General features: G+C 43.7%; 1 protein-coding gene across 3 annotated transcripts in view; it reads right to left on the bottom strand.

The window, feature by feature from the left end:
• Nucleotides 1-12,372, bottom strand: part of UBE3C (ubiquitin protein ligase E3C) — a 130,445-nt gene that overhangs the window by 28,297 nt on the left and 89,776 nt on the right. For all 3 annotated transcript variants that reach the window (NM_014671.3, XM_005249564.5, XM_047421072.1), the window contains one exon: nt 9,747-9,994. In NM_014671.3, the coding sequence (NP_055486.2) occupies nt 9,747-9,994 (248 nt within the window). The remainder of the gene's footprint in view (nt 1-9,746; nt 9,995-12,372) is intronic.

Below are 12,372 nucleotides of genomic sequence, written 5' to 3'. Positions count from 1 at the left end.
TGCCACTTCCAGACCATCCTTCCCTTCCCTCCCGCTAAAATCCCTGGCTTTCAATCTCATGCACTGGGCTTGCGCATCCATTACCTCTCCCGGGTTCAGTCACTGCCCCTTAATTCAAGATTTTAGCTCCTGAGAGTCCAACACACTCTGGTGATAATTTTTGGTGACATCTGTAGCACACAGTTGACTGTCATTCTACCATCCTGGCTGTCCCTCAACTCCACCTTAGCTACCAGTTCCTTCAGCTCTGTCCTCCAAGTGGCATTACCGGTAACTAAGCCCCTCTGATCTTAGCTCTAACCACCGCTACACTGACTCCCTGAAGGACCTCGACTCCACAGGTCTCCTCTCCTGTCCAGCTTCCCTTGCCCTCAAATCTCCATTCACGGATTAATTTCCTCTCTAAACAGCCTAGATTCAAAGGCAGGCTCTTGTAACCACTCTGAACTTGCAACCAATTCACCCTTTATTATAGTCACTTGGCAAAAAACCCCACCCCTGGTTAAATCTGACTCTACATCCTAGTCAGACCCACACAGCCGTTTACGGGTGTAGAAAAAGTAACCCACACGGCTGGTCTCACTTCACTTTATGATATTAACGTCAAGTGGGCCCTACACTAACTGGCAATCCTATTGTATTTCCATTGTCCAGTAATTCTCAAATTTCAGCATGCATCAGAGTCACACTTATTAATTGAAGCCTATTCACAGCTTGCTGGCCGGGTGCTATGGCTCACACCCATAATCCCAGCACTTTGGGAGGCTGAGGTGGGCGGATCACTTGAGGCCAGGAATTCGAGACCAGCCTGGCCAACATGGCGAAACCCCATCTCTACAAAAAACACAAAAATTAGCCGGGCGTGGTGGTGGGTGTCCGTAGTCCCAGTTACTTGGGAGGCTGAGGCACGAGAATTGCTTGAACCAGGAGGCAGAGGTTGCAGTGAGCCATGCCAAGAGCAAGACTCTGTCTCAAAAAACCCCAAAAAACCAAAAACCAAAACACACAGCTTGCTGAGCCCTAGCCCTAGAGTTCCAGATTCAGAAGGTCTGGGGTGGAGCCCAAGAATTTGCATTTTTAATAGATCCCCCGGTGATGCAGATGTGGCTGGTCTGGGAACACTGCTCTTCCCATCCTTGCTCTCTGCTGCATCACCCAGAAAGCAGCAACAGTGGGATGCAGTCAGAATGAGCTCCTGCTCCCCAGCTCATGCAGCTGCACCCAGTGTTCCTCTACCTCTTCTTGGACACGCAGCCTGTGGCGCCCCCTGCTTCAGCACCAGACCCCACACCCTCACTTTGCAGGGTGTGGTTCCTCTCTCCCTCAGCAATTCCACTGACTTATTTCCAGCAGCAAATACACATGCTGTTATTTCTCCCATCTTTAGAACACAGCTTTCCTAGCCCCATATCCCTTAAGCGGCTGCTCAAGTTTTCTTGATAACCAGTCCCCCAATTCTTCTCCGATCCTTCCTCTTGTAACTGCTCTGAAGTCTACTGCTGCAGAGTGCCCTAATCACAAGCCTGTGGTTCCATCCATTTTTACCCAGTGAACACACTTATGGAAAAGCACTTAGTCCACAGCGCAGAAAATGCCTAGCACCTTGGAAGCCCCCTGCACCCCCTTCCAGTGTTACCCTCCCAGGAGCATCAGGATCCTGCCTTCCAAAAACTGCAAGGAGCTTTGCTTGTTTCTGAACTTCCATAAATGAAATCTGACAAAATGTACTTTTGTGTGTCTGGATTCTTCAACTCAATGTTAGGTCTGTGCCGTTCACTCATACCATTTTGAGTAGCTGTAGTCTGTTCATTCAGTAAGTCTTGTGAATATCCTACAATTTATTTATTATCATTATGCTTTCGAAGGACATTTTTGTAGTTTCCAGTTTAGGGGCTATACAGTGTTACCATAAACATTCTTTCACATGTATTCTAATTAATAGGTACACATTTCTCTTGTGATATGATGTGGATATTTTCAGCTTTAATATGATGCTTTAGGAAGATAATCCTGACATTCTTTTCAGCCCATCTGCTGAGGTTTTTGCCTTCACCACGCCACAGAAATCACTTGTCCAGAGTGCTAAATGACATGGCCACTTCTCAGTGCTAAACCTTACTTGGTCTAACAGTACCATCACACAATACCCACCTTTCTCTTCCTTTCAAACACTGTCTTTATTTGGCACCTGAAATCCCACTTCTCTGGTTTTCTCCCTTCCTTTCCAGCTTCATCTCCTGAACTTCTATTAGTCAATTCTCTACTCTCTGGACTCTAAACCTTGGAGAGCCCTGGGGCTCAGTTCTTCATCTCTTCTCTTCTCCAGTGACACCTACACCCTGGGTGATCTAATTCAGGCTAATGACCTTAAGGACCCTGGGAATGCTGATGGCTCAGCCCAGATACTGCCTCTAACTTGAGGCCCCTATCCTCAACTGCCCCTCACTAAGCCTCCATAAGAATGCCTCCCTCTCCACACCTGCTCCTGCCCGCACCTTTCCCAGCTTAGTCAGCATGACCTCCATCCTTCTAGTTCTCATAACAGAACCCAGGTGGTTCCCTTACCTTCTCCTGTCCTCACACATCCCAACATCTCATTCATCAGCAAATCTCCTTGAATATGATGACTTCTTACCAGCACTACCACCGGGACATGGGCAGCAGCATCACTCCACCTGAACGATGTGACACTCCATCCGGTCTCCCAGCTTGAGTGCTTGACCAATGCTAGCTACTTACACCAAAGCCAAGGAGGCCCACGACAACACAGGCCGGATTCTGCTGCCCTCTGCTGGTGACGCCAGGAGTCCCCACTGGCCTGTCTTACTCCAGAGCGTGACCTCCACCACTCTACTTACTGCCGCCTCTCAAAGCTGATTTTAAGTTTAGAAACAATAAAATTAACACCATATACCTTCATTTGGCTTTTATTTCATAAAGTTACATTTGCTAAATCTAAATCTAAATTAAATTGAATATTTAAATGTTTAAAAGGATTTACATGGGCCCTATTTTATTATTATTTTGAGACAGGGTCTCTGTCACCCAGGCTGGAGTGTGGTGGTGCCATCACTGCTCACTGCAGCCTCTACATTTCAGGCTCAAGCAATCCTCCCACCTCAGCCTCCCAAGTAGCTGGGACTACAGACACACACCACCATGCCTGGCTACTTTTTTTTTTTTTTTAGTGGTAGAGACCAGGTCTCCCTATGTATGCCTAGGATGGTCTTGAACTCCTGGGCTTAAGTGTTCTTCCCACCTCGGCCTCCCAAAGTGCTGGGACTACAGGTATGAGCTACTGCACCCAACACTATTTTTTAGATTATTTGTTGTCTTTATTGCACAAATAAGAGCCAAAGATAAACAGCAGACTTTAAGTGGGGCCAGCAAGAGTGTGTGCTTCTAATCTTCATGGTGACAAATTAACATGGCCCAGAAAAAACAGAATGGTCTCAATACCATACTGATCCATTCTTCTCATGAATTTCAGATGTTTAACTATTGCTTGGGCGTGATGAGAAAAATAAAAAGGAAGGAATAACTCAATAGTAAGCAAGACCTACTTAATCCAAGGGCAGAAAGAATTTACCTTGTGGTGCTAAACCTACAGTGAGAAATCTTTTCTTTTTTTTTGAGACGGAGTCTCGCTCTGTCGCCCAGGCTGGAGTGCAGTGGCGCAATCTCGGCTCACTGCAAGCTCCGCCTCCCGGGTTCACGCCATTCTCCTGCCTCAGCCTCCTGAGTAGCTGGGACTACAGGCGCCCGCCACCACGCCCGGCTAATTTTTTGTATTTTTAGTAGAGATGGGGTTTCACCGTGTTAGCCAGGATGGTCTCGATCTCCTGACCTGGTGATCTGCCCACCTCGGCCTCCCAAAGTGTTGGGATTACAGGCATGAGCCACTGCACCCAGCCGAGAAATCTTATTTAGGTGCAGCAATCAACTGAATTCAGGAATACATCTCCCATTTTAACTGTAGAATCTAAACCACTTGTATTTCATGGTTAATTCTGAAGAAATAAACTTACATAGAAAACTGTCTTGCCGGGTGTGCTGGCTCACGCCTGTAATGCCAGCACTTTGGAAGGCTGAGATGGGCAGATCACCTGAGGTCAGGATTTCGAGACCAGCTTGGCCAACATGATGAAACCCCGTCTCTACTAAAAATACAAAAATTAGCCGGGCATGGTGGTGGATACCTGTAATCCCAGCTACTCGGGAGGCTGAGGCAGGAGAATCGCTTGAACCCGGGAGGTGGAGGTTGCAGTGAGCCAAGATCGCACCACTGCACTCCAGCCTGGGCAACAGAGTGAGACTCCATCTCAAAAAAAGAGAAAAAAAAAAGAGTTTAGGGTTCAAAACAAGGTATTATACAAGAGAAGCTCTGCCCCTTTAAGGACTAAGGCAACCAAAATGACTAGTATTCACCTCAATTTAGATGTTTAAAGCCTCAGCAAATTCAGTGAGCATTTTACAAAAGGATGCTAATGATGGAGAAAAAGAAACTTTCCAACTTTTGAAAATCTCAAGATAAACTGTTAAGTGCCAATATTACACTACAGAATACATTAAATGCACACTGAATTCTACCGCGATAAAAAATTATAAACCACGCCAAAGTTATACAATCTAATTGAAATTTTCAAATATATAACCAAGATCATATCAAATAATCTGATTTATAGGCATGCCATCCCAATTAAATCAATATCCTAAAGCAAGAAAAAAAGCCATTTTCAAATAGAATTCAAATATGATAAAGGATTAACCTCAATAAATATTCTGAACTTAATTGGCTTAAATGGACCTAGGTGCTTCTATCTGTAAAAAAAAGTTCAAGATGACATTACCACATCCTTGGGCTGTTTATTTATTCCCTGTCTGCAGCCTGACTTACAGGCGACAAAATGCAATCATGACCCACACCAGAAGCAAGAATCATTTGCTAATGGAACTTTTAATTGAGAAGTGACCAGTGACATGAGGTAATTCTTCCTCTGCAGGATCACTCTTGAAGACCTCTTTGCACTTTATCACAGTAAACAATCACTAACATATGCATTAAAGAAAATTTAAATACATTATGACCCAATAAATATCACAATCAATCAATATACAGTTTTCTTCTCTTGAAGATGTAATGTTCAGGTGCCACACTATCAGCTGCTGTACTATGACACTTACTTAGATCCGAGCAATGGTTAGCACATTAGCACAAAGTTTAACTCTGTAATCAGATGGTCATCAGATATGTTTTGGAAGTTAGTAACCCCTTAGGAATTTCCACACAGAGAGTAATGTAAGGGAAGTCTTAAATATGTGAAACTAAGTTAACTACCATCCTCAAATTACTCTTAGTTTTGTTATTGGTCTAAACTTTATTATTTTAAACAGCCTTAATAAGATATAACTTACATAAACTTCATTTGTGGGAGAAAGGTTTAAAATCACAAATTCTCTTCCCTGGATCTTCTGTAAATATATACATATTCCAAAGTACAGAACTGTACAATGACATCATCTTCAGAATAATTTCAATTATAAGCAATATGTCAATAAACAGAGGAGAAATGAGTTTATCCTCACCAGACTTACATAACTATTAGCTTCTACATTAATCAAGACTGGATGATTTATACATTCAGGAAGAAAAAGTAATATATAATCTTAAGATTTAATTCATGCAGGTAAAATTATTGCTCTATCTTCTGTGACTGTACTGTGTAAAAACCACCAAGTTTAGAGTATTTCAGGTTAGTCTAGCAGAACACTCACCTTTATTTTCACATATATATTAAGTTAGAAGGTTCTTGGGCTCACTTTAACAGAAAGAACTAAGGGATTTCATTGTAAAGATTTTCTTTTCTTTTCTTTTTTTTAATTTGAGACAGAGTTTTGCTCTTGTTGCCAGGCTGGAGTGCAATGGTAAGGCCTTGGCTCACCACAACCTCCGCCTCCAGGTTCAAGCCATTATCCTGCCTCAGCCTCTGGAGTAGCTGGGATTAAAGGCATGCACCACCACGCCCAGCTAATTTTGTATTTTTAGTAGAGACGGGGTTTCTCCATGTTGGTCAGGCTGGTCTCGAGCTCCCGACCTCAGGTGATCCGCCTGCCTAGGCCTCCCAAAGTGCTGGGATTACAGGTGTGATCCACCATGCCTGGCCCATTGTAAAGATTTTCATACAATGAATTATGAAATGTACATCCTCCAGGGGAAGCTGAAACTGAGAAGTAGGCTGTGTGACCATCAACAAAGAGAGAGATGCTATCTGAAAACTGCCACCAAAGCCAACTCACAAATCAACATCAAATCAACACCTGAAATCTGCCACCTGAAATACGGTGAGCCTGAAGATGATGATATAACACATACCGTTACGGTAGTGAAGTCAGGTTGGAGCCCTTTCTCAAACCTGAAGAGCACTTAAAATCACTGGGAGTCTGAACAAAGAAATAACTGGGGCTACGACAATGCATTTCAAAGAGACACAAATAAAGGGGAATTATTCTATATCCAGGATAGACTGATTCCTTCCCATTATCCCTGCTTAACAAGGCTGCGGTTCTACTCCCATCTGCTATTAATAAATCCACACACCCCATACTGCAAAGCTACAGTAATCAAGACCATACTGCATAAGGGCAGACCCAGAGTGTTACGTGTACGGTCAACTAATTTTCAACAAGGGTGCCAAGAATATGAGGATGCCTAACTCATACAATCTACAAAAATTAACTCAAAAAGGATCAAAGACCAAAATGTAAGAGCTAAAACTACAACACCGTCAGAAGAACATACAGGTGTAAATCTTTGTGATTTTAGGTCAGGGAATGGATAAGACATCAAAAACAAGCAATAAAAGAAAAAAACACGTTAGACTTCAAAATTAAAAATGTTCGTTCTTCAAAGGAAATCATCATGAAAGTGAAGAGACAATCCAGAGAAGAAAATACTTGCAAATCATTTATCTGACAATGTTTCAGCTTCCTCAGAGAATATAAATTTCATAATTCATTGCATTGCAGGGACTTAATAATAAAAGACAATCCAATAAAAAAATAGGCAATGGACTTGAATAGACATTTCTCAACAGAAGTCATGAAGCACATGAAAAGATGGTCAACATTATTAGTCACCAGGGAAATTAAAACCACAATGAGATACCAATTCCCACCCACTAGAATGGCTGTAATGAAAAAGACAACACTAAGTAAGTGCTGACAACGATGTGGAGTCACTGAAACCTTCACAAATTGTTGGTGGGATTGTAAAAGGTTGCAGACACTTTGACGTGGAGTACTGTATGACCTAACACTTCCATGTCTAGGTATATGCCCAAGAAAAACAAAAAACCTATGTCCAAATAACAGCTTGTATACAAATGTTTGCAGTAACATTATTCACAATAGCTAAAAGGTGGAAACAATGCAAATTCCCAATGCAAATGCACCACTGCACTCCAGCCTGGGATGAGTAAGTAAACAAAATGCGGTGACTGGGTGTGGTGGCTCACACCTGTAATTCTAGCCTTTTGAGAGGTTGAGGCAGGAGGATTGCTTGACGCCAGGAGTTCAAGACCAGCCTGGGCAACATGGCAAGACCCTGCCTCTACGATAAAATGAAATAATTAGCCAGGTGTGGTAGCAAGCAACGGTGGTCCCAGCTACTCGGGAGGCTGAAAGCAGGAGGCCTCCTTAAGCGCAGGACTGAGCCGTGTTTGTAGCAGTGCACTCCAGCCTAGGTGGCAGAGAAAGACCTGTTTCAAAATGAAAAAAACAAACCCCAAAGTGTGGTATATCCATACAATGAAATAAGATTTGGCCCTTCAAATGAGTGAAGCTCTGACATACTACGACATGAATGAAACCTGAAAACATGCTAAATCAAAGAAGCCAATCACAAAAGGTCACAAATTTATAGTTGATATAACAAATGATTCCACTTATATGAAATGTCTAGAAAAAAAAAAATCCATACAGACTGAAAGTAGACTAGTGGTTGGCCAGGGCTGGGGGAGGAAGGGCAGGATAGGGAGTGACTACCTAGCGTTTCCTTTTTGGGATGATGACATTGCTTCCAAGTTTGATATTGGTGATGGTCACATAACACAGTGAATATATTAAAAACCACTGAACTGTACACTTTAAAAGGTTCAATTTTCCATAATGTGAGTTATATTTTAATAAAACTGTTATGTAAAAGAAGTCCTAAAAGCACCACCTGTTTTGCAGGCACTGATTTTTCAATTAAGCTGCTTCTCAAAACAGGCGACTCCATGCACTATGCTTCTCGGAAAACAGAACCACCAATGAGACAAAGAAATTTTATTACAAAGTTGAAAATGATTATAGCTCTGATTCTTACAGAAATTAATCACAATAGCAACATTAATTTCTAATTTATTTAAGAATGCGAATAACAGGCCAGGTGCAGTGGCTCACGCTTGTAATCCCAGCACTTTGGTAGGACAAGGCAGGTGGACCACTTGAGGTCAGGAGTTAAAGACCATTCTGGACAACATGGTGGAAACCCCCATCTCTTCTAAAAATAGAAAAATTAGCTGGGCGTGGTGGTGCACACCTGTTGTTCAGGAGGCTGATGCAGGACAATCCCTTGAACCTGAGAGGTGGAGTTTGCAGTGAGCAGAGATGGCGCCACAGCACTCCAGCCTGGGCAACAGAGCAAGGAGAGACTCCGTCTCAAACAAACAAACAAACAAACTAATAACAATTCCTGAATACTCAACTTTATAAATGTCACCCTAACAGGTAGAGCTGTGTCCCCCCAAAAGACAAATTCAAATCCTAATCTGTGAATATAACCTTCTTTGGAAATGAGGTATTTGCAGATAACCAAATTAAGATGAAGTTACACTGGATCAGGGAAGACCCCAATACAATGACAGGTGTCCTTATTAAAAAAAATAAGGCAATGTTGGACAGAGACACTCAGGGAGAAGTCCACAGAGGCAGAGATCAAAATGATGAATCTACAAGCCAAAAAAGGTCAAGGGCTACTGGCAAAACCAGAAGAATGGATTCTTCTAGAGCCTCTAAAAAGGAATCTATGCTGCTGCTGACACCCTGAGTTTGGACTTCCAGCCTCCAGAACTGTCAAATAATAAATTTCAGTTTTTCTAAGCCTCCCTCCCCCCCCAAAGAGTGTGGTAATTTGTTGCGGCAGTCCTATTAAACTAATAGTCACTAGGCAGTAACTTACTGTCTTAGTCCGTTTTGACTGCTTATAACAGAAGACCTGAAACTGAGTAATTAATAAAAACTGAAATCCATTTCTTATAGCTGGAAGGCCAGGAGCCCATGGTCCAGAGGCAGCCCCTGGTGAGGTCTTCTCATTGGTGGGGACTCTGCAGAGTCCGGAGGCGGCACAGGGCATCACAAAGCTAGGGGCTCCCTCCTGTAAAAAGTCACCAGGGCCCTTCCCACAATAAACCACTCATCCATTCATGACGGCCGAGCTCACATGATCTAATCACCTCTTAAAGATTCCACCTCTGAATACTGGCACACTGGGGATCAAGTTTCAACATGAGTTTGGAGGGGACATTCAAACCATAGCACCTACTTACAACCATACAAATTTGTTTCGTGCAGTGCTTTTGCAACATTTAGCATCCAAATTTAAAACAAACAGTATTTTATGGTAAACCTGGATAACAACCACACATAAACATAAAATGTCAACATCTTTTGGTCCGAGGTCTATTTTTATATGAAGGTTACTTTACCTTTCCAAGCATTCTGCCTAGGAAGTAGTAATGTCTGGCAAAAGAATCTCCCACAAGCATCTGAGCAGCCGGGTTGGGGTACAGAAGCCCTTCATTAGTAGTCTTAAAGAACCCCTGGTTGGGGTTAAATCCTGACTTCAGTAGTTCATTTAAAAACTCTCTGAAAATACCACCACCATCAATGCCAGCTTCATCCAGGCCATGGGCATTGAGCAAGTGCACACGGATCCGCTTTTTCAAATCAGGCTCTGTTAAAAAAAAATGGGAGGGTGAGGAGGAAAGATGTTACAAGCAAGCAATAACATCAACTAGCCTTACAGGAAGGCTTAAGGAAGGGGTGTGAGGATCTTAGGGACATTTTAACATAGGACTCAAAACAGCAATGATATTATCATTATTTTTTGAGACAGAGTCTTGCTCCGTCACCCAGGCTGGAGTGCAGTGGCACGATCTCGGCTCACTGCAACCTCCGCCCCCACAAACTCTCAGGGAATTGGTCCTCCAGAATCTACAGCAAGCTTGTCCTCAACCTGCAGCCCACAGGCCGATGTGGCTCGGGATGGCTTTGAATGCGGCCCAATACAGATACCTAAATTCTTAAAACATTAGGAGGTTTTTTTTTTTTTTTTTTTTGAGACGGGGTCTGCCTCTGTCATCCAGGCTGGAGTGCAGTGGTGCCATCTCAGCTCACTGCAACCTCCGCCTCCCGGGTTCAAGTGATTCTTCTGCCTCAGCCTCCCAAGTAGCTAAGACTACAGGCGTGTGCCACCACACCTGGCTAATTTTTCTATTTTTAGTAGAGATGGGGTTTCACCATATTGGCCAGGCTGGTCTCGAACTCCTGACCTTGTGATCTGCCCGCCTTGGCTTCCCAAAGTGCTGGGATTACAGGCGTGAGCCACCGTGCCCGGCCTGTAATTTTTTTTTTTTTTCAAAAGCTTATCAGCTACTGTTAGTGTATTTTGTCTGTGGCCCAAGACAATTATTCCTCTTCCAATGTGGTTCAGGGAAGCCAAAGGATTGGACAACCCTGATCTACGTGATCTTTTAAAAGCTGTATTTGGCTGAAAAGGGGGGAAAATTACTGGTTATATAATTTGCTACGAAGAGTAAATTAAGGCCAGGTGCAGTGGCTCATGTCTGTAATCCCAGCACTTTGGGACGCTGAGGTGGGCGGATCGCCTTGAGGTCAGGAGTTCGAGACCAGCCTGGCCAACATGGTGAAACCCCATCCCTACTAAAAATATAAAAACTAGCCAGGCAAGGTGGCACATGTCTGTAATCCCAGCTACTTGGGTGGCTGAGGCCGGAGAATCACTTGAATCTGGGAGACAGAGGTTGCAGTAAGCCAAGATCGTGCCACTGCATCCCAACCTGCGTGACAGTCTCAAAAAAAAAAAAAATAAATAAATTAAAACATTGCACAGAGGCTCACTTCTGTAATCCCAGCACTTTGGGAAGCCAAGGCAGAAGGACTGCCTGAGGCCAGGAGTCCAAGACCAGCCTGGGCAACACTAGCAAGACCCTGTCTCTACAAAATATAAGAAAAGCTGGGCATGGTGGTATGTGCCTGTAATTCCAGCTACTCAAGAGGATCACTTGAGCCCAGGAGTTTGAGGCTGCAGTGAGCTATGATTGCACCACTGCACTCCAGCCTGGCTGAAAGTGAGACCCCCATCTCTAAAATAAAAATTTAAAAACCCCAAAAACAGGCCGGGTGCAGTGGCACATGCCTGTAATCCCAGCACTTTGGGAGGCCAAGGCAGGTGGGTCACCTGAGGGCAGGAGTTTGAGACCAGCCTGACTAACATGGTGAAACCCCGTCTCTACTAAATACAAAAAAAAATTAGCCGGGCGTGGTGGTGCATGCCTGTAATCCCAGCTACTCAGGAGGCTGAGGCAGGAGAATCGCTTGAACCCAGGAGGTGGAGGTTGCAGTGAGTCAAGATTGTGCCATTGCACTCCAGCCTGGGCAACAAGAGAGAAGTTCCATTTCAAAAAACAAACAAACAAAAATCCAAAACCAAAAAAAACACAAGGTGGACCAAGTTAAGATGTGCTCTGATAAACAGGCTGAATCAGAGAACAGCTTTGGGGAAGTAAGTGAAATGTCCTTTATCTTTCCCTAAGAATGTTCTACAGGTGCTTTGCAGAAAAGATAGGGGGAAGGAGAGGGGACGAGAGTTGGGGACAGGCTGCTGCATGAAGTCAGGGGAAAGCAACCGCACGTAGTGTACATTCGACACTTTCACAGGCCCCATGCGCTGCTGCCCTCTGTTGGCTTTGGTGCATAGTCACCCAAACATATCTGCCCTGGAGCATCTCAAGGGACATGTAACCTCTAGAAGCATTCTGGAAAAGGGGTTTAGCAGAATGTTTGATAGAGCCTCCATGCAATCTCCTCAAAACCCTGTCTATCCCTAGATTGCTATGTACACGTGTCAGTAATTTTGAAGTTACCGTACCTGGAGTGTAAATAGTCTATGATATGTGTCAAATAGGGCAAATACAATTTACTGGACTGACTGAGGCTTACAGCCACCACACAGAAATACCAAGTTCCCATTCACTGAGCAGTGGTCGCTGACTGAATGGACAAGATGGGGCCACTCTGCACAGCAGCAGG

The sequence above is a fragment of the Homo sapiens genome, chromosome 7, assembly GCF_000001405.40.
Source record: "Homo sapiens chromosome 7, GRCh38.p14 Primary Assembly".
NCBI lineage: Eukaryota > Metazoa > Chordata > Mammalia > Primates > Hominidae > Homo > Homo sapiens.
The sequence above is the reverse complement of the archived record's forward strand: the minus strand, read 5'-3'. Positions and strand labels throughout refer to the sequence as shown.